Source organism: Homo sapiens, chromosome 17 (genome assembly GCF_000001405.40).
Source record: "Homo sapiens chromosome 17, GRCh38.p14 Primary Assembly".
In the NCBI taxonomy this organism is placed as follows: Eukaryota; Metazoa; Chordata; class Mammalia; order Primates; family Hominidae; genus Homo; species Homo sapiens.
Genome location: NC_000017.11, coordinates 42,899,696 through 42,917,823, shown reverse-complemented (window position 1 = coordinate 42,917,823; position 18,128 = coordinate 42,899,696). Strand labels below are relative to the sequence as shown.

General features: G+C 45.9%; 1 protein-coding gene across 2 annotated transcripts, besides 1 other annotated feature; it reads right to left on the bottom strand.

The window, feature by feature from the left end:
- Window positions 1-759: an enhancer, noted in NCBI's record as "OCT4-NANOG-H3K4me1 hESC enhancer chr17:41069082-41069840 (GRCh37/hg19 assembly coordinates)". NCBI's record gives its function as "activates a minimal SCP1, AML or CMV promoter by ChIP-STARR-seq in naive H9 embryonic stem cells {active_cell/tissue: H9 hESC(naive)}" and the evidence as "EXISTENCE:reporter gene assay evidence [ECO:0000049][PMID:30033119]".
- On the bottom strand, window positions 3,386-17,025 carry G6PC1 (glucose-6-phosphatase catalytic subunit 1). 2 transcript variants are annotated; one of them, NM_000151.4, is made up of 5 exons: window positions 16,718-17,025; window positions 13,784-13,893; window positions 10,196-10,301; window positions 8,406-8,521; window positions 3,386-6,909 (listed from the first exon to the last, which is right to left on the bottom strand). In NM_000151.4, the coding sequence occupies exons 1-5, from the start codon at window positions 16,945-16,947 to the stop codon at window positions 6,398-6,400; spliced, it is 1,074 nt and encodes a 357-aa protein (NP_000142.2). In that variant the 5' UTR covers window positions 16,948-17,025; the 3' UTR covers window positions 3,386-6,397. The 2 variants fall into 2 exon arrangements, with proteins under 2 accessions (NP_000142.2, NP_001257326.1); NM_001270397.2 differs by having other exon boundaries at window positions 10,196-10,224.

The window sequence follows — 18,128 nt, the reverse complement described above, 5'->3', positions numbered from 1 at the left end:
GGCTGGATGCAGGTTTTTCATCTTTCTCCCTGAAATTAGACTTTGAGCTTCGAATTGCCCATCACTGGACTAGAAAAATCACTAGTTTTCCCTCTGGATTAATGAAGGTCTTGGTTCCCTGATGGAAGTGACTTTTGTTGTCTGCTTCTTCATGCCACTTCTAGTCAATTATTTCCTTAACCATATAACCAGAAGGCTATTTAGCCAGAGTGTTTCCTATTATCAAGGAGACACTTGAAAAACTTTTGCATACAAATGGTATCGTCCTATCTTATTCACACAAACAGGCCTTACAGCCTAGTTCAGCAGTTACTGCAGAGTGAAGTCAATGAATATTAATAATTCAGCAGCTGAAGTCATGGTTTTCAGAAAACAAGTCAGCAAATTTTGACAGGTTGCAAACAATGAGTCAATTAATTAGGGCTGGAATTTCAGATATGCAGACATGTCTTCAAATGTAACGTTCCCGGAATGCCTGTTGGAATAACAAAGAAATTGGCAACGCAAGTGGAGGAGTGCGCTGAGAGTTCCTCACGTAAAATCTGACCACCTGGTCGGGTGAGTGGCTCACACCTGTAATCCCCGCACTTTGGGAGGCTAAGGAAAGAGGATCACTTGAGCCCAGGAGTTGGAGACCAGCCTGGGCAATATAGTGAGACCTTGTCTCTACAAAAAAAAAAAAAAAAAAAAAAAAAAAAAAAAGCCAGGTGTGGTGGTGCGTGCCTGTGGTCCCAGCTACATGGGAGGCTGAGGCAGGAGGATCACTTGAGCCTGAGAGGTCAAGGCTGCAGTAAGCAGTAATGGTGCCACCACACTCCAGCCTGGGCAACAGAGAGAGACTCTGTCTCAAAAAAAAAAAAAAGGAAAAAGAAAAATCTGACCACCTAATCGGTCTTCCTTTGAAACCTTTCCAAAGCATAGAAGTAGATAAAGTTATGATAAAGGGTATGATCCTAGGAAATCAAGAGATGATAAAACCAAAAATACTGTAAAACTTTCCTAACTAAGCCTTCGGGAAAACAGTCTGGCAGTTCCTTAAAGGGTTAAATATAGAGTTCCCACATCTCCCAGCAATTCCACTCCTAAGAATGTACCCAAGAGAAATGAAACTATGCAACCACACAATGACTTGCACACAAATGTTCATAGCACTGTTATTCATAATAGCCAAAAAGCAGAAACAAGCCAGTTATCCATCAACTGATTAACAAATATTTATTTATCATTCATTCATTCATTCATTCATTCATTATTTGGAGACAGGCTTTTGCTCTGTTGCCCAGGCTGGAGTGCAGTGGCTTACTGCAGCCTCCATCTCCAAGGCTCAAGCCATCCTTCCCACCTCAGCCTCCTGAGTAGCTGAGACTACAGGCATGTGCCACCATGCCCAGCTAATCTTTTATTATTTGTAGACACGAGGTCTCCCTGTGTTGCCCAGGCTGGTTTTGAACTCCTAGGCTCAAGTAATCCTCCTGCCTCAGCCTCCCAAAGTGCTGGGATTACAGATGTGAGCCACCATGCCTGGCCTGATAAACAGATAAATAAAATGTGGTATATTCATACAATGTTATATATTCATACAATGGAATATTACTTGTCCATAAAAAGAAATGAAGTACCAATATATGTTATAACACAGATAAACCTTGAAAACATCATGCTAAGTGAAAGAGGCCAGACACAAAAGGCCACATATTGTAGGAGTCTATTTATATGAAATGCCCCAAATAGGCAAATCTATGAGACAGAAAGTAGATTAGTGGTTGCCTAGGCTTGAGTGGGTTGGAGTGGAATGAAAACCCCTGAATTGTACACTTTAAATGAGTGAATTGTATGGTATTGTGAATTATATCTCAAGCTGTTATACAGCTTTTTTTTTTTTTGAGATGGAGTTTCACTCTTGTTGCCCAGGTTGGAGTGCAATGGTGTGATCTGGGCTCACTGCAACCTCTGCCTCCCCGGTTCAAGCAGTTCTCCTGTCTCAGCCTCTCAAGTAGCTGGGATTACATGCATGTGCCACCACGTCTGGCTAATTTTTTGTATTTTTAGTAGAGACGCGGTTTCACCATGTTGGTCAGGTCGAACTCCTGATCTCAGGTGATCTGCCTGCCTTGGCTTCCCAAAGTGCTGGGATTACAGGCATGAGCCACCGTGCCCGGCCTTGTTATACATTTTTTTTAAGGTGTTACAATTTTGTTAAAAATCAAAAACATGGCTGAGTGCAGCAGCTCATGCCTGTTATCCCAGCACTTTGGGAGGCTAAGGCGGGAGGATGCTTGAGACCCTGTCTCTACAAAAAATAAAAAAATTAGCCAGGCATGGTGGTACGCATCTGTAGTCCCAGCTATTCGGGAGGCTGAGGCTGGAGGATCATTTGAGCCCCAGGAGTTGGAGGTTGCAGTGAGCTGAGATTGCGCCATTGCACCCCAGCCTGGGTGACAGAGTGAGACTCCATCTCAAATAATAAAATAAAATAAAATAAAATAAGATAAAATAAAATAAAAAGATAAAATAAATAACCAAAACCACAAAAACCTAAGCCTTTGGTCTATGTGTGATGTGGCAGCACTGGTCCACGCAGCAGAAGTTGGACTTCCTTAATGGGTCTATTTTCTTTGGGCAATAATAGAATTGCATTGCGTGTGTGTGTGTGTGTATCATCCTCAAGCCTACCACCTGAAAACTGATACACTACTAGAACATTCTACCAAATTATGCCATAACATGACATGGACCTTGCTTTAAAACTGTCATCGGTCACTTAAACTTGCCTCACAAGCCATTTCTAAAGTGGACGTAAATCTATAACTTAGGGAACAGATGAGTGATCAAAATGTTCTGTCTAATAAGCAGGATATATTACAAAATGATTATTTTGTATCTGGGATTACAGGCGCGAGCCACAGCACCCAGCCCAGACTGCTTGCTTCTTTTTTTTTTTTTTTTCTGAGACAGGGTCTCACTCTGTCACCCAGGCTGGAGTGCAGTGGCATAATCTTGGCTCACTGCAACCTCTGAGCTCAAGGGATTCTCCCACCTCAGCCACCTGAGTAGTTAGGACCACAGGCATGCACCACCACGCTTGGCTAATGTTTTGTATTTTTGGTATAGACGGGGGTCTCACCATGTTGCCCAGGCTGGTCTCGAACTCCTGAGCTCAGGCAATCTGCCACCTCAGCCTCCCAAAGTGCTGGGATTACAGATGTGAGCCACCATGCCCAGCCCAGACTGCCTGATCCTTAACCTGGTTCCACCATTCTGGACAAGATGACTAACCCCTCTGGACCTATTTGTAATATAAGGATAAATGACAGTAGCCAACTCACAGAGATGTTGGGAGAACTAAGCGAGTTAATTGTATAAATAAAGTACATAGAACAGAATCTGGCATAAAGTTAGCACTCAATAAACTTTATCTGTTATGTTTTCTTATCAACCTCATAAACTTCAGGGAGTGGGGGCAGTATTTACTTTCTGGCAGACCTTTCTTGTAAGGATCTTGGACTTGGTCCTTGGGAGCAAATAGATTATCAAGGATGGGGCTATGCCTAAGCAGTAGGGTTCAGTTCAGACAGATCAAAACCATTTCTGGCCAAGCGCAGTGGCTCACACTGTAATCCCAGCACTTTGGGAGGCTGAGGCAGGAGGATCACTTGAACCCAGGAGTTCAAGACCAGCCTGGGCAGCATAGTGAGACCCCCATCTCTATTAAAAAAAAAAAAAAGACTATTTTCTTTCTCCCTGGTTGGGACCATTTGATTCTGTGAGGGGCCTGGTTCCCACAACGCCCTCTGAGAGCCCAAATCCAGTAGGAGAATGCAATCTTCCCTGAATATACAGACTCCGGAGTTCAGGTGTGAAATAGCGGAGCTTACCCTCAGGAAATCCATTGATACGGTGATGATTTGAGGCCTTTGGAGGTCGAACCCTGCACCCAGGATGAAATAAATCTCTTAGCAGAGAAACCTGCAATAGCTCCCTTGAGCATTCCTTGGTGCTGTGACTGGCTCTGTTTAGACTTTCTTGAACTATAACCCAAAACCTTGCTGACACTGAGTTACTGGATTCCAGAGCTGGCCTAGTCTTGTTGTGTTACTGCAACTTGTGTGCCCTGATTGCTTAATTTGATAGTGACCCTGCCCATCTACTCTCAAGTTGCAATTTGATGCCATAGAGCAACTCATGCTGACTTGTGGTCTGGTAGCCAATGTTCATTCTTGGCCAACTCTGAATCTTTCTGGTTCTATGCTGATTTTGGGCCTCCGTTTATGTGCTCAACTCTGCCTGTGCCCCTGTGGATGCATTTAAGTCTCCCTATCCCTAATGGGACTCTCGGTCAACTCAAGAGAGAGCACTTTTCTTCTCCAAAGGGAAAATGCAGGCACAGAGAAACCAAATTATTTGTTTAGGGAAACAGAGCTAGAAATTTAGTTGGGCCAGAATTAGAAACTTCAGATCACATTGCATCTAAAATATAGTAATTAACAAGACTTTATTCTTAAATAAAATGTTGCTTTAATAAAATACTGCACATATATATTTTTCTTTTCAAAGATGTTATGAGCAGGATGGTTGTTTTGAATGATAATGTATGGTATACTATATAATTAGTAGCAAAAACAAGGACTTTCAAATAAATAGGCTTCAGCTTTTTTTGGGGGGTAGGTGGGTGGGGCAGAAATACTCTGCATATCAGATGAGATTGAAAAACAGGCAAGGAGGGCCCGGTGCGGTGGCTCATGCCTGTAATCCTAGCACCTTGGGAGGCCAAGGCAGGTGGATCACTTGAGGTCAGGAGTTCGAGACCAGCCTGGCCAACATGATGAAATCCCATCTCTTCTAAAATTCTAAAAATATAAAAATTAGCCTGGCATGGTGGTGCACGCCGGTAGTCCTAGCTACTGAGGAGGCTGAGACATGAGAATCGCTTGAACCAGGAGGAAGAGGTTGCAGTGAGCCAAGATCGTGCCACTCCACTCCAGCCTGGGTGATAGGTGCGCCGTCTCAAAAAAAGAAAAAAAAAGAAAAGCAGGCAAGGAGGAGTTGGCTAGCTGGACATAGTGGCTTGCACCTGTAGTCCCAGCTACGCGGGACGCTGTGGTAGGGTGGGAGGACTGCTTGAGCCCAGGAATTCAAGAGCAGCCTGGGCAACATAGTGAGACCCTGTCTCAAAAAAAAAAAAAAAGAGAGAAGATGTTGACTTTTCCTTTAAGAATGTGCTCTTGGTTGGCTTGGGATAGAGAAAGGAGTCATATTTACCCTCTAGGAATTAAAAGTAACACTGGAGTGACCTGAGAGAGGAATCCTGGCCCTCCCCTTGTCATTTTGCCCAAGATTTCAGAGCCTAATTGAAACATACAAAAGCACCACCAGAGTCGCCCTCTAGCCTTCTGAAGATCCAGTGGGGTGGATGTGGAGCCAGTGGAAGAATCTGGAAAAAGCAGAGCTGGGCTTATAAGGAGGATGATGTAATGTGATAGAGGAGATGTCAGCTATACCTGAATGTTTTGACCTAGTGCAATATCTGGGTCACTGCAGCCATTCAGAAATCCAAGGAAATACGATGAACATGTATGCACAGTAAAAAAAATACTAGAAGCAGAATTACCCCACTAACCATCTATTAATTATACTTAAGCTGGTCCCCCATTACTGAGAGTGCATTACTATATAATTAAAGCCATTTAGACATGGCTTGGCATAGCACTTGCATGATACGCCACATACTAAAAACTCCTCCTTAGGCAGCCTTCTTTTCCTATCAGATTCAGAGCTCCTTTCTCCTTTTCTCGGTAAGAATGAACACAGGTAGAAAATTCTCAGTTAGGATCTCCAGCCTGGGCTTGTGAGCTGGCCCTACCTGGAAGTCTTGCTTTTGTATATGTGACGGAAGAATAAGTAAGTCTTCAGGGGAAAATCCAGAACAACCCAACTTCTAGCAACAGGTCTTTCTCAATAGCTTCATTAGCTTTTCAAAAACATTACCCAATATGATTAGGATTGTAAAAGAGGACCACCTGAGCTGACAGCACCTCTGGCCTCAAAATGGGCTGGCAGAAGACCATTCAAAGATAAAATGGGCTGTTCCAGTGGGAGTGAGCTCCCTACTTGTGAGAGTATTCAAGTAGAGAGAGGAGGACCTCCTGGCGGGAAACTTGCATATGGTGTACGTGATATGGCACCTCCATCTGAAAGAGTCTGTGCTGAGGGCAGGCTGGAGTCACACATGGGAATAAGCCAGGCGACCCTCCAATCTGCCATCCGTGATTTAATTCCACGACGGCAGAATGGATGGCATGTCACTTGCTCCAAATACCAGTGCCCATTGCTTCAAATAGTAGTCCTCCTCAATCCCTGGCATGGTTGTTGACTTTAAACACCGAAGACTCCACATCTCTTACAACGACTTCTTGTGCGGCTGGCCCAGGACCTGGGCGAGGCAGTAGGGGATGACACTGACGGATGCCAGGGGCACTACCGCACTCTTGCAGAAGGACAAGACGTAGAAGACCAGCTCGACTTGGGATGGGGGTTTCAAGGAGTCAAAGACGTGCAGGAGGACGAGGGAGGCTACAATAGAGCTGAGGCGGAATGGGAGCCACTTGCTGAGTTTCCCCTTGCAGCTCTCCCTGTACATGCTGGAGTTGAGAGCCAGCCCCAGGCCAAAGAGCGTGCCCAGGTTCTTGAGGAGGCTGGCAAAGGGTGTGGTGTCAATGTGGACCCATTCTGGCTGCTCGCACCACCTCTGGGCTTTCTCCAGAGTCCACAGGAGGTCTACACCCAGTCCCTTGAGCAGCAGATAAAATCCGATGGCGAAGCTGAACAGGAAGAAGGTAATGAGAAAATATTTCTTGAGGCTGGCATTATAGATGCTGTGGATGTGGCTGAAAGTTTCTGCAACAGCAATGCCTGAGTGGAAGAAAGCATGACTGTGAGAGATAGGAAGGATTTGGGACCTTTGCTAGAGGTGGGTTTGGAGGAGTGGGTGACATGCCATCCGTTCTGCGACTGTGGAATTAAATCACAGATGGCAGATGGGAGGGTCGCCTGGCTTATTCCCATGTGTGACTCCAGCCTGCCCTCAATATAGACTCTTTCAGATGGAGGTGCCATATCACGTACAATCTCCCACCGTATGCAAATTTCCTACCAGGAGGTCCTCCTATCTCTACTTGAAATACCCTCAGAGGTAGGGAGCTCACCCCCACTATAACAGTCCATTTTATCTTTGAACGGAATTGATTGCTGAATAGTTCTTCCTTGTCTGTGTGAAACTGGTCCCCCTCTAATACTGTCTATTTTTCTCAGTTCTTTCTGCAGGAGTTAGTAAGTGATGAATCTAGTCCCTCTGTCACACATTTGAACACAGTTATTCTCTCTAACCTAAACATTCCCAGGTTTTTCATGTGATATGGCTTCCAGGTTCTTCCTCAAACATGGAACCCAGTACTAAATGCTGTGTTACTTTTGTGATTACCATGAAACCATTATCTCCCTTGTTCTCAACATTCTTCTTTGAATGCTGCTATGTTCCGTTCTTACAAATCTCCAGGGGAGAAATTCCACAGTTTTGTTAAGGTCTTATATTCCAGTGCCTCCCACAAAATCTTTCTTATGCTTAACTTAAATCTTGTCTTACCCTTGTTAATTGGATCTAAGAAAACACATATTCAGGCAGGGTGCGGTGGCTCACCCTTGTAATCCCAGCGCTTTGGGAGGCCGAGGCGGGCGGATCACGAGGTCAGGAGATCAAGACCACGGTGAAACCCCGTCTCTGCTAAAAATACAAAAAATTAGCCGGGCATGGTGGCGGGCGCCTGTAGTCCCAGCTACTCGGAGAGGCTGAGGCAGGAGAATGGCGTGAACCCAGGAGGTGGAGCTTGCAGTGAGCCGAGATCGCACCACTGCACTCTAGCCTGGGTCACAGAGCGAGACTCCATCTCAAAAAAAAAAAACAAAAAAAAACATATTCAAAACTCTGAACCTATAAAAGAGATCAACTGCAGTTATCTATTAGGTTTGCAAATGAATGTATTTAAATGAACAGCTTTCCTAGGACATCGTGTTAATTTGTTAAATTTGGCAGATTCCCTGAAAAGTAAATTAGGGCCTGTTGAAGACCAGTAAGAAATAAAGATTGTAAAAAGCTCTGAGATTTCAAGCTAATTCAATTTGGTGCGTTAATTTGATGTATGGTAACTTCTACACAATTCATTCTATAGATCTGGGCACTCTTATAGAAATTAATCATTTCAAGTTGCTCATTCTTGACTTTCAACCCACAGAAATGCTAACAGTACTGATTACACACAGGATGTGGCTGGAATGCTGGGATTTTGTCCTGATTAGGGAGAGAAACGGAATGGGGTTTGGGGGAGAAGGAAGGGAGTCAGATCAGCCCATACCTGACAGGACTCCAGCAACAACTTGATGAGGAAAATGAGCAGCAAGGTAGATTCGTGACAGACAGACATTCAGCTGCACAGCCCAGAATCCCAACCACAAAATGACATTCAAGCACCTGCAACAGAAGAGGCAACCATAACAGAACACAGGTGCAGATCCTTCAGCAAAGAAAACAGCCCCTGCAGAAATGTTGGAGCCTGGCAAACTTAGGTGCTCTCAGTGGAATTTTTGTAAATTAAAGCCAGTACTCAAAAGTCCAAAGATGCCTGTTGGGGGCTGGGTGCAGCGGCTCAGACCTGTAATCCCAATACTTTGGGAGGCCGAGGTGAGAGGATCACTTGAGGCCAGGAGTTCAAGACTAGTCTGGGCAACATAGCAAGACCCCTGTCTCTTTAAAAAAGATCAAAATTGACCAGGCACGGTGGCTTATGCTTGTAATCCCAGCACTTTGGGAGGCCGAGGTGGGTGGATCACTTGAGGTCAGGAGTTTGAGACCAGCCTGATCAACAGGTGAAACCCCATCTCTACTAAAAAAAAAATTACAAAATTAGCCAGGTGGGGTGGCTCACGCCTGTAATCCCAGCTATTTGAGAGGCTGAGGCAGGAGAATTGCTTGAACTCAGGAGGTGGAGGTTACAGTGAGCCGAGACTGCGCCACTGCACTCTAGCCTGGGCAACAAGAGCAAAACTCCGTCTCAAAAAAAAAAAAAAAAGGCCAGGCGCGGTGGCTCATGCCTGCAATCCCAGCACTTTGGGAGGCTGAGGCGGATGGATCACTAGGTCAGGAGTTCAAGACCAGCCTGGCCAATATGGTGAAACCCCATCTCTACTAAAAATAAAAAAATTAGCCAGGTGTGGTGGCACGTGCCTGTAGTCCCAGCTACTCGGTAGGCTGAGGCAGAAGAATAGCTTGAACCCAGGAAGCGGAGGTTGCAGTGAGGCGAGATGGCGCCACTGCACTCCAGCCTGGGCAACAGAGCGAGATTCCGTCTCAAAAAAAAAAAAAAAATGCCTGTGGCAAGTGGTTAACCCTTGTGTATATGAATTTTAACTTCCCTATTTTATCTGTTTGATAATTAAGGATTTGCATGGCTGGCGCGGTGGCTCATGCCTGTAATCCCAATATTTTAGGAGGCTGAGGCAAGCCAATTGCTTGAGATCAAGACCAGCCTGAGCCTGGGCAACATAGCAGAACTCTGTCTCTACAAAAAGATACGAGAAATTAGCTGGGTGTGGTGTGTGGCCTGTGGTCCCAGCTACTCAGATGGCTGAGGTGGGAGGATCGCTTGAGCCTGGGAGGCAGAGGTTGCAGCGAGACATGATCGTGCCACTGCACTTCAGCCTGGATGACAGAGCGAGACTGCATCTCAAAAATAAAAATAAAAAGGATTTGCACTGTGGCTGCACACCCGGAATTCTCTGTAGTAGGAATATCTTCTGTTTCTCTGGTTATTTTAACCTGGATGGGTGACTCTGTGGTTGGTACAGACATGGGTTTTTATTTAAGCCCTGCTGCTACTTCACTACCTTATTTTTATAAGTCCCTTCATGGTGTTGGGCTTTGTTTCCTTATCTGTAAAACAACGGATTGCACTACTGGATCCCTTTCAGCCCAAACATTCCCTGACTCTGAGGTTTATCCCTATCCAAAGTGCCACAACTCTTAATCAGCGGCTGCCCAGGTGTGGGAGCGGGCTAGGGGGATGTGAGGAAGAATACGTGGTGTGTCAGCTACAGAGAGAGCTGCCTCCTGCCCTCCACCACCTACACCCCAGTGGTGAGTTCTTACCGAAATCTGTAGGTCGGCTTTATCTTTCCCTGAAAGATGGAAAGAGTAGATGTGACCATCACGTAGTATACACCTGCTGTGCCCATGGCATGGCCAGAGGGGCTCCCTAAAGGGCAGGAAAGAGAATGGAGTAAAGGTGAAAAGGTCCTCATCTGGGAGACAGTGCATCATCTACCCAGCCACCCAGCCATCCCCCTATCCACCCATCTACCCATTCATCCATCCATTCACCCCCCATCCATCCGTTCACCCCCCATCCATCCACCCATCTTACCATCCATTCGTTATCCATAATTCATTTATTTAACAAATTTCCATCTCCTATGCACCAAGCATTGTGCAAGGCTCTGGGAATACAATGATGAGCAAAGCCAGAGAGGGGCCCTGCTCTTGCAGTTTAATACAGTCTGGAGATTACACAAAGAATCAGCATACTGGGCGTACAATTACAAACTGATCTGCCCTCCACATCTTCTGTTCCTTCTCTCCTTGCACACTCTGTTCTGGCTACACTGGCCTCATTGCTTTCCTTTAAACACACCAAACACGTTCCCACCTCAGGGCTTTTGCATTGCAATCTTCTCTGGCCAGACAGCCCTTCACAGCTCTTCTGCCAGAAACTTACTTCCTCACATCCTTGAAGACTTGACTCAGATCTCATATTCTCAGTGAGTCCTACTCTGACCACGCTATTTAACCCTGCTTGCAACCGGTTCCGTTTTTTTATTTGTTTGTTTTTTGTTTTTTTAGAGACAGTGTCTTGCTTTGTCTCCTAGGCTGCAATGCAGTGCCATGATCATAGCTCACTGCAGCCTCGACCTCCTGGACTCAAGCAATCCTCCCACCTCAGCCCCCTGAGTAGCTGGGACCACAGGTGCACACCACCACACACAGCAAATTTTTTAAATGTGTTTTGTTTGTTTGTTTGATTGTTTTTGCCCAGGCTGGTTTTGAACTCTTGGGCTCAAGCAATCCTCCTACCCTTGGCCTCCCAAAGTGTTGGGATTATAGGTGTGAGCCACCATGGCCCGTCTGGTTCCCATCCCATTCTTAATTCCTCTACCCTGAGAGATAGAGGGTCCTGAGATGTGCCGCCCAGACCTCCCTCCTGAACTGCAGGACTTATTTCGTAGCTGTTGAGAGTGTGATGGTAGATGGCTTTCTGCTCTCAGCCTTCTCCTGGCATTGCCCTGGGCTAAAGAGAGTCGCCTTGATCAAGGTTACGCTCTCCCCAGGGTCTGATTCCCTTGTCCCAACTTGGACCAACTCTGAGGAGCCATCCCCAGCTTCAGAGCTCGCTGTGGGGTTGGATGAGGCAGAATCACAACCGGACCTCTCCTTCTGCCCTGTTCCTGTTCCTTCCCTTCTACAAGTATAGTTCCCCAGAGTATCTAAACTCCTGCACGTGAATCTCCATTTCAGCCTGCTTTCCAGGGAACCCCATAGATAAATAAAGGCTTTCTTCCCTCCCTCCCTTCCTCCTTCCCTTTCTTTCTCCCTTCCTTCCTCCCTCCCTTCTTCTTCCTTCTAACACTAACAATTATATACCTTGGGTAATTCATTTAAACTTTTTTTTTTTTTTCCTGACAGAATCTTTCTCTGTCACCAAGGCTGGAGTGCAGTGGTGTGATTTCAGCTCACTGCAACCTCTGCCTCCCGGGTTGAAGTGATTCTCCTGCCGCAGCCTCCTGGGTAGCTGGGATTACAGGCGCCCGCCACCATGCCTGGCTAAGTTTTTGTATTTTTTTATTAGTGACGAGGTTTCACCATGTTGGCCAGGCTGGTCTCAAACTCCTGACCTCAGGTGATCCACCTGCGTTGGCCTCCCAAAGTGCTAGGATTACAGGCGTGAGCCACCGCGCCCGGCCTACTTTCTGAGCCTTAGCTACTCTACCTAAGGAGCAGAGATAATAATTTGCTTCTATTAAGACAGAGGACTAAATAAAATAACCTCTTAAAGCCACTTTAAACTTTCCAGTCTGTGCCTCCATTAATTTCAGGGAGAAATTCATCCTTGATAACAAGCTGTTATGATGAAAGCAAACATATTTCTACAAAAGATGTTTGGTCCTTCTTTCCTTCTCCTTTCCTTTTCTTCTTCTTCTTCTTTTTTTTTTTTTTTGCCTATAAACAATCATTTTCTAGTATTATATGTGTGTGTGTGTGTGTGTGTGTGTGTGTGTGTATATATATATATATTTTTTTTTTTTTTTCAGATGGTGTCTCATTTTGTCGCCCAGGCTGGAGTGCAATGGCGCAATCTTGGCTCACCACCTCCCAGGTTCAAGCGATTCTCCTGCCTTAGCCTCCTGAGTAGCTCAGATTACAGGCATGCACCAGGACACCCAGCTAATTTTTGTATTTTTAGTAGAGACAGGGTTTTGCCATGTTGGCCAGGCTGGTCTTGAACTCCTCACCTCAGGTGATCCACCCGCCTCAGCCTCCCAAAGTGCTGGGATTACAGGGTGAGCCACCGTGCCTGGCCTATCCTACATATTAATAGTTTACTTTTTTTTTGAGACAGAGTCTCGTTCTGTCATTCAGGCTGGAGTGCAGTGGTCCGATCTCGGTTCACTGCAACCTCTGCCTCCCAGGTTCAAGCGATTCTCCTGCCTCAGCCTCCCAGGTAGCTGAGACTACAGGCGTGTGCCATCACGCCTGACCAATTTTTCCATTTTTAGTAAAGACAGGATTTTGCAATGTTGGCCAGGCTGGTTTTGAACTCCTGACCTCAGGTGATCTACCTACCTTGGCTTCCCAAAGTGCTGGGATTACAGGCATGAGCAACCACAACTGGCCTAGTTTACTTATTTATTATAATTTTTGTATATTTCACCTCCTCTATTCAGATTTCAGCTCCACAAGGGCAGGGATCTTTGTGTCTGTGTTGTTCACTGACAGAGGTATCCCTAGCACATAGAACAGTGTATAGCTCCCAGTAGGTGCTTGGTAAGTAACAGCTGAATGAGTGAATATGCTCTGAGGTAAATGCGTGGTCTGTGAGAGCAAATAACTAAGGGACCTTCCCTAGTTTTGGGGTCAGGGAAAGGGTCTCTGAGGAAGGGATACTAGTACCTTAGAGAGTACTAGTCTTAGAGGGCAGCTGAGACTTTAGGGTGAGGGAGGGGCTTCCTATTACATACTGAAAATGAAATCTATCATTTGATTTGACAGTAACCATCTGGCTGTAACTAATAAAACGTAGGCACAGAGAGGGCAAGGGATTGGACGGTCAGCTCAGGAGGGCACATCCAGTGGGCCAGGCCATTGGGAAGGACCCCCAGAAGCTCAGGCTTCTGCCCCCTCCTTTCTCAGGACACAGCGCTGCAGGGCGGTGACTCTCACGAGCCCTTTGCCCATGGATGCCCGTGCCTCTCTGGACTCCATCCAGGTTCTGTAATAGGCAGATTTCCAATACTACTGTGCTATTCAGGAAAGTATTGCAGAAGTGAATTAATTTGTGCCAATTGAAGAGCATGACAAAAGTACAAAGGAATGGCTCTCCTCATGTCCCCTCAAGGTCAGTTTCATCCATAACAGGTAAACGAGGTCCACTCAGCTTCTGTCTGCAGGGGCTGGGACGCTTACCTGGTCCAGTCTCACAGGTTACAGGGAACTGCTTTATCAGGGGCACGGAAGTGTTGCTGTAGTAGTCAGTATCCAAAACCCACCAGTATGGACGCTGTCCAAAGAGAATCCTATGGAAAAACAGAACAAGTTTCTGGGGTTACTGAATGAATGCTTTTGCCCAAAGCCTACACCTTCAAGAAGAGTGTAGCCTGAGAAGGATTTCACATGTTGCCTCTAGAAGGGAGAACTGGGTGGCTGGGGAGAAGTGTGAGAGGGAGATATTTCATGACACTTCCTTATGTATGTAACTTTTGCATTTTGAACTGTTTGAATGTATTATCTTTTTTTTTTTTGAGACAGGATCTGGCTCAGTAACCCAGCCTGGAGTGCAGTGGCGCAATCTCGGCTCATTGTGACCTCTACCTCCTGGGATCCTCCCACCTCAGCCTCCTGAATAGCTGGGACTACAGGTGTGTGCCACCACATCCAGCTAGTTTTTGTATTTTTAGTAGAGACGGGGTTTCACCATGTTGCCCAGGCTGGTCTCCATCTCCTGAACTCAGGCAATCCTCCCACCTCAGCCTCCCAAAGTGCTGGGATTACAGGCATGAGCCACCGTGCCTGACTGTATGATCTATTTAAACACAAATAATGAAGCCCAAGATTCTGAACTCCAGGCAGGCGCGGTGGCTCACACCTGTAATCTCAGCACTTTGGGAGGCCAAGGCAGGCAGATCACATGAGGTCAGGAGTTTGAGACCAGCCTGGCCAACATGGTGAAACACCGTTTCTACCAAAAAATATAAAGAATTAGCCAGATGTGGTGGTGCGTGACTGTAATCCCAGCTACTCGGGAGGCTAAGGCAAGAGAATCGCTTGAACCTGGGAGGCGGAGGTTGCCGTGAGCCGAGATTATGCCACTGCACTACAGGCTGGGTGACAGAGCAAGACTCCATCTCAAAAAAAAAAAAAAAAAAATCCTGAAATCCATAAAATGGCAGCTATGTGACTTTTTTTTTTTAACCTCAAGAAGTATTTGTCCTGGAAGAATGCATATGGAACTACAGTTTGAAACTTGGACTTGCATATACCATGGGTTCCCTCAGGCCTCAGGGAATCTTGCATTTCCTCTGACATCAGAGAATGCACTCCAGCCCCTAGGACGAGCCCCCCCCAGGGAAACATGGCCTGCATTTCCATCAGAATTGCTCTCTGTAAGGATGTATATAGCTTCAGATGCTTGTTCTGTATCCTCTCTACTTTGAAACAGAGTATCTCAGACAAACCACTTCCCCTTTAAAAGTACTAGATATATCTTTCACTGTGGAAATAGGTGTCAACCGCCAGTCAGGATGCCTTTTATCCCGTGATGGTGGAATAGTGATTTCTCACCGAAATCAGGGAGAGCCACTAACTCTGGCCTCTATCAACCCAGAGAGATTGCATGGTTCTTCAATGGAGATCAGATGTTTGGAATAACACTTCATCTTTTTATTTTTTAGAATCATGCGGCTGGGTGTAGTGGCTCACGCCTGTAATCCTAGCACTTAGGGAGGCCAAGGCAGGCAGATCATGAGGTCAGGAGTTCGAGACCAGCCTAGTCAACATAGTGAAACCATGTCTCTACTAAAAATACAAAAAAAATTAGCTGGGCATGGTGGCGGGCACCTGTAATCCCAGCTACTTGGGAGGCTGAGGCAGGAGAATCACTTGAACCGGAGAGGCAGAGGTTGCAGTGAGCTGAGATTGCACCATTGCACTCCAGCCAGGCAACAGTGCGAGACTCCATCTCAAACAAACAAACAAAAGAAAGAAAGAAAGAAAGTGGCCAGAATGGGAATGTTTACGTGATAGAAATTGGCAAATGCTAAACTCAGGGCTTTCCCCTGCTCCCCAGAGAGTCAGTTTATCAGCACTGGACGTAACATAGTTCATAAGAGCATTGCCGCGGAAGCCAGCCTGCCTACCTGGGCTTCCATCCTGGCTCGGCATGTACTAACCTTGTTGGCCTAATCATTTAACTCAGCACCTTGGTCTCTGCATCTACTGTTTCTGTAAATAGCAGTAACTACCTCACAGAAAAGCACATAGCACATGGACTGGCACACACTGTTTAATAAATGTTAACCCTGATTATTATTAAGCTGCCAGAGATAACCTATTTGTAGATTATAAAACAGAAACTCAGATAATTGATATGACTTGCCAAGGACATGTAGTTGGTGGGTGGCAGAACGAGGGCTGGAGCCCAGTTCCCAGGGTGACTTTTCATTACCCCACAAAACAGGCTGTTGAATCATCTGTGTGTTTCCTTTTTTCATACAGCATACATCATCTATCTTTTTTTTTTTTTTGAGACAGGGTCTTACTCTGTTGCCCAGGCTGGAGTGCAGTGGCATGATCTTGACTCACTGCAACCTCCTCCGCCTCTCACCTCAGCCTCCTGAGTAGCTGGGACTACAGCACCAACACGCCCAGCTAATTTTCGTAATGTTTTTGTAGAGATGGAGTTTCGCCATGTTGCCCAGGCTGGTCTTGAACTCCTGAGTTCACCCAGGAGTGATTCGCCCACCTCGGCCTCCCAAAGTGCTGGGATTACAGGTGTGAGCCACCATGCCTGGCCCCATACATCTTTCTTTATGTTACCTCTTCTGCTTCATACTAATAAAACTCTTTGCTCAAAGCCTATATAACTCAGACTTTTCACGAAATTCAACTGTCCTACCCTTTAACCCATATGAAATAGGCTTTCCTGTATTTTCAACTCACTGGTAGGATTTTTTCTGTCTTCCCCCTTTATGTAGATGATCCAAAGTCAGAGAGAGGGGTTGGAAGCATGAGTAGCCCGTGGCTTCCTGAATAGCCTGGGGAAAGCAACTTCTGATGGACAGACATTGCGAGAGCGAATGCCAGCCTCTTTTCTTGCTGATCTCCTCTCTATATGGTTCTTACCACTTAAAGACGAGGTTGAGCCAGTCTCCAATCACAGCTACCCAAAGGAGTTTAATGCCCACAGCTTCCTGAAGATGGAACCAGATGGGGAAGAGGACGTAGAAGGCATTCCTGAGGTCTGCGATCACGGACACCAAGATGAACCAGTCCTGGGAGTCTTGGTAATTCACCTGGAGGTAATGTGTTGACTGGATCCCAAAGTCATGGAGAACATTCATTCCTTCCTCCATCCTCATTTCCTTGGCACCTCAGGAAGATGTCAGCAGAGCCCTTGCAGTTATTCCAGGCTTGGTGGTGATTGCTCTGCTATGAGTCTGTGCCTTGCCCCTGTTTTATATGCCCTGTATCCAGTATTCAGGTCAACCCAGCCCTGATCTTTGGACTCAAAAACCACGTTTGTCTAAAATGTATTGATCAAAGGTGCATCACCAGTAGGTTGATGCAAACATGTTCAGGGTGATTTACGTAAAATAGAAAAACAGGCACACAAAAACAGCCTGATCGGCCATGTACTCAGCAGGGCCAATGATTAACTTTGGCATGCTTCTTGGCAGTGCAAGGGTCTGCCCTCCTGGTCCCCGAAACCAGGCCAGAGACACAGGACAGAGTCTACATCCACGATGATTCTTGCAAAGATGTCAGATTTTCTATGCCTGCAACTGCACTTATTTGGGGACAAAGAAAAATCTTGGTGCTCTAGCTATTCAAGTTTTAAGTTCTTAATTTTAAAATTAGTAAAGTTCTGGCTGGTTGTGGTGGCTCACACCTGTAATCCCAGCAATTTGGGAGGCTGAGGTGGGAGGATCCCTTGAAGCCAGGAGTTGGAGACCAGCCTGGGCAACAAAGCAAGACCCTCGTTTCTACACAAAAATTTAAAAAATTGTTTTGGTGTGTGTGATGGTGTACCCTTGTAGTCCCAGCTATTCAGGAGGCTGAGGCAGGAGGATTGCTTGAGCCCAGGAGTTGGAGTCTGCAGTGAGCTATTGTCCCACCGCTGCACTACAGCCTGGGCAATCGAGCAAGACCCCAGTCTCTAAAACAAAACAAAACAAAACAAAACAAAACAAAAGAAAAACAACAAATAAAATATAGTAACTTCTATTGTATTGGGGACTATCATCTTGCTGGTCTTTCCTTAACTGTATTAGAGTCTAGGGTCTGCCTCTGGTTTGGGAGATCAACCCCCTTCCTGGTATTGGCCTCATGTCTCTTAGGGCCAGAAAGTAATCGTTTTTGAATGCAGTGATTAATTCATTTAATGACCTTAAAGTTACAGCCCTTGGTGTTGTTTTCTTTTTTAAATTTTCTCTCTCTTTTTTTTGAAACAGGGTCTCACTCTGTCTCCCAGGCTGGAGTGCAGTGGCATAATCACGGCTCACTGCAGCCTCAACCTCCTGGGCTAATGTGATCC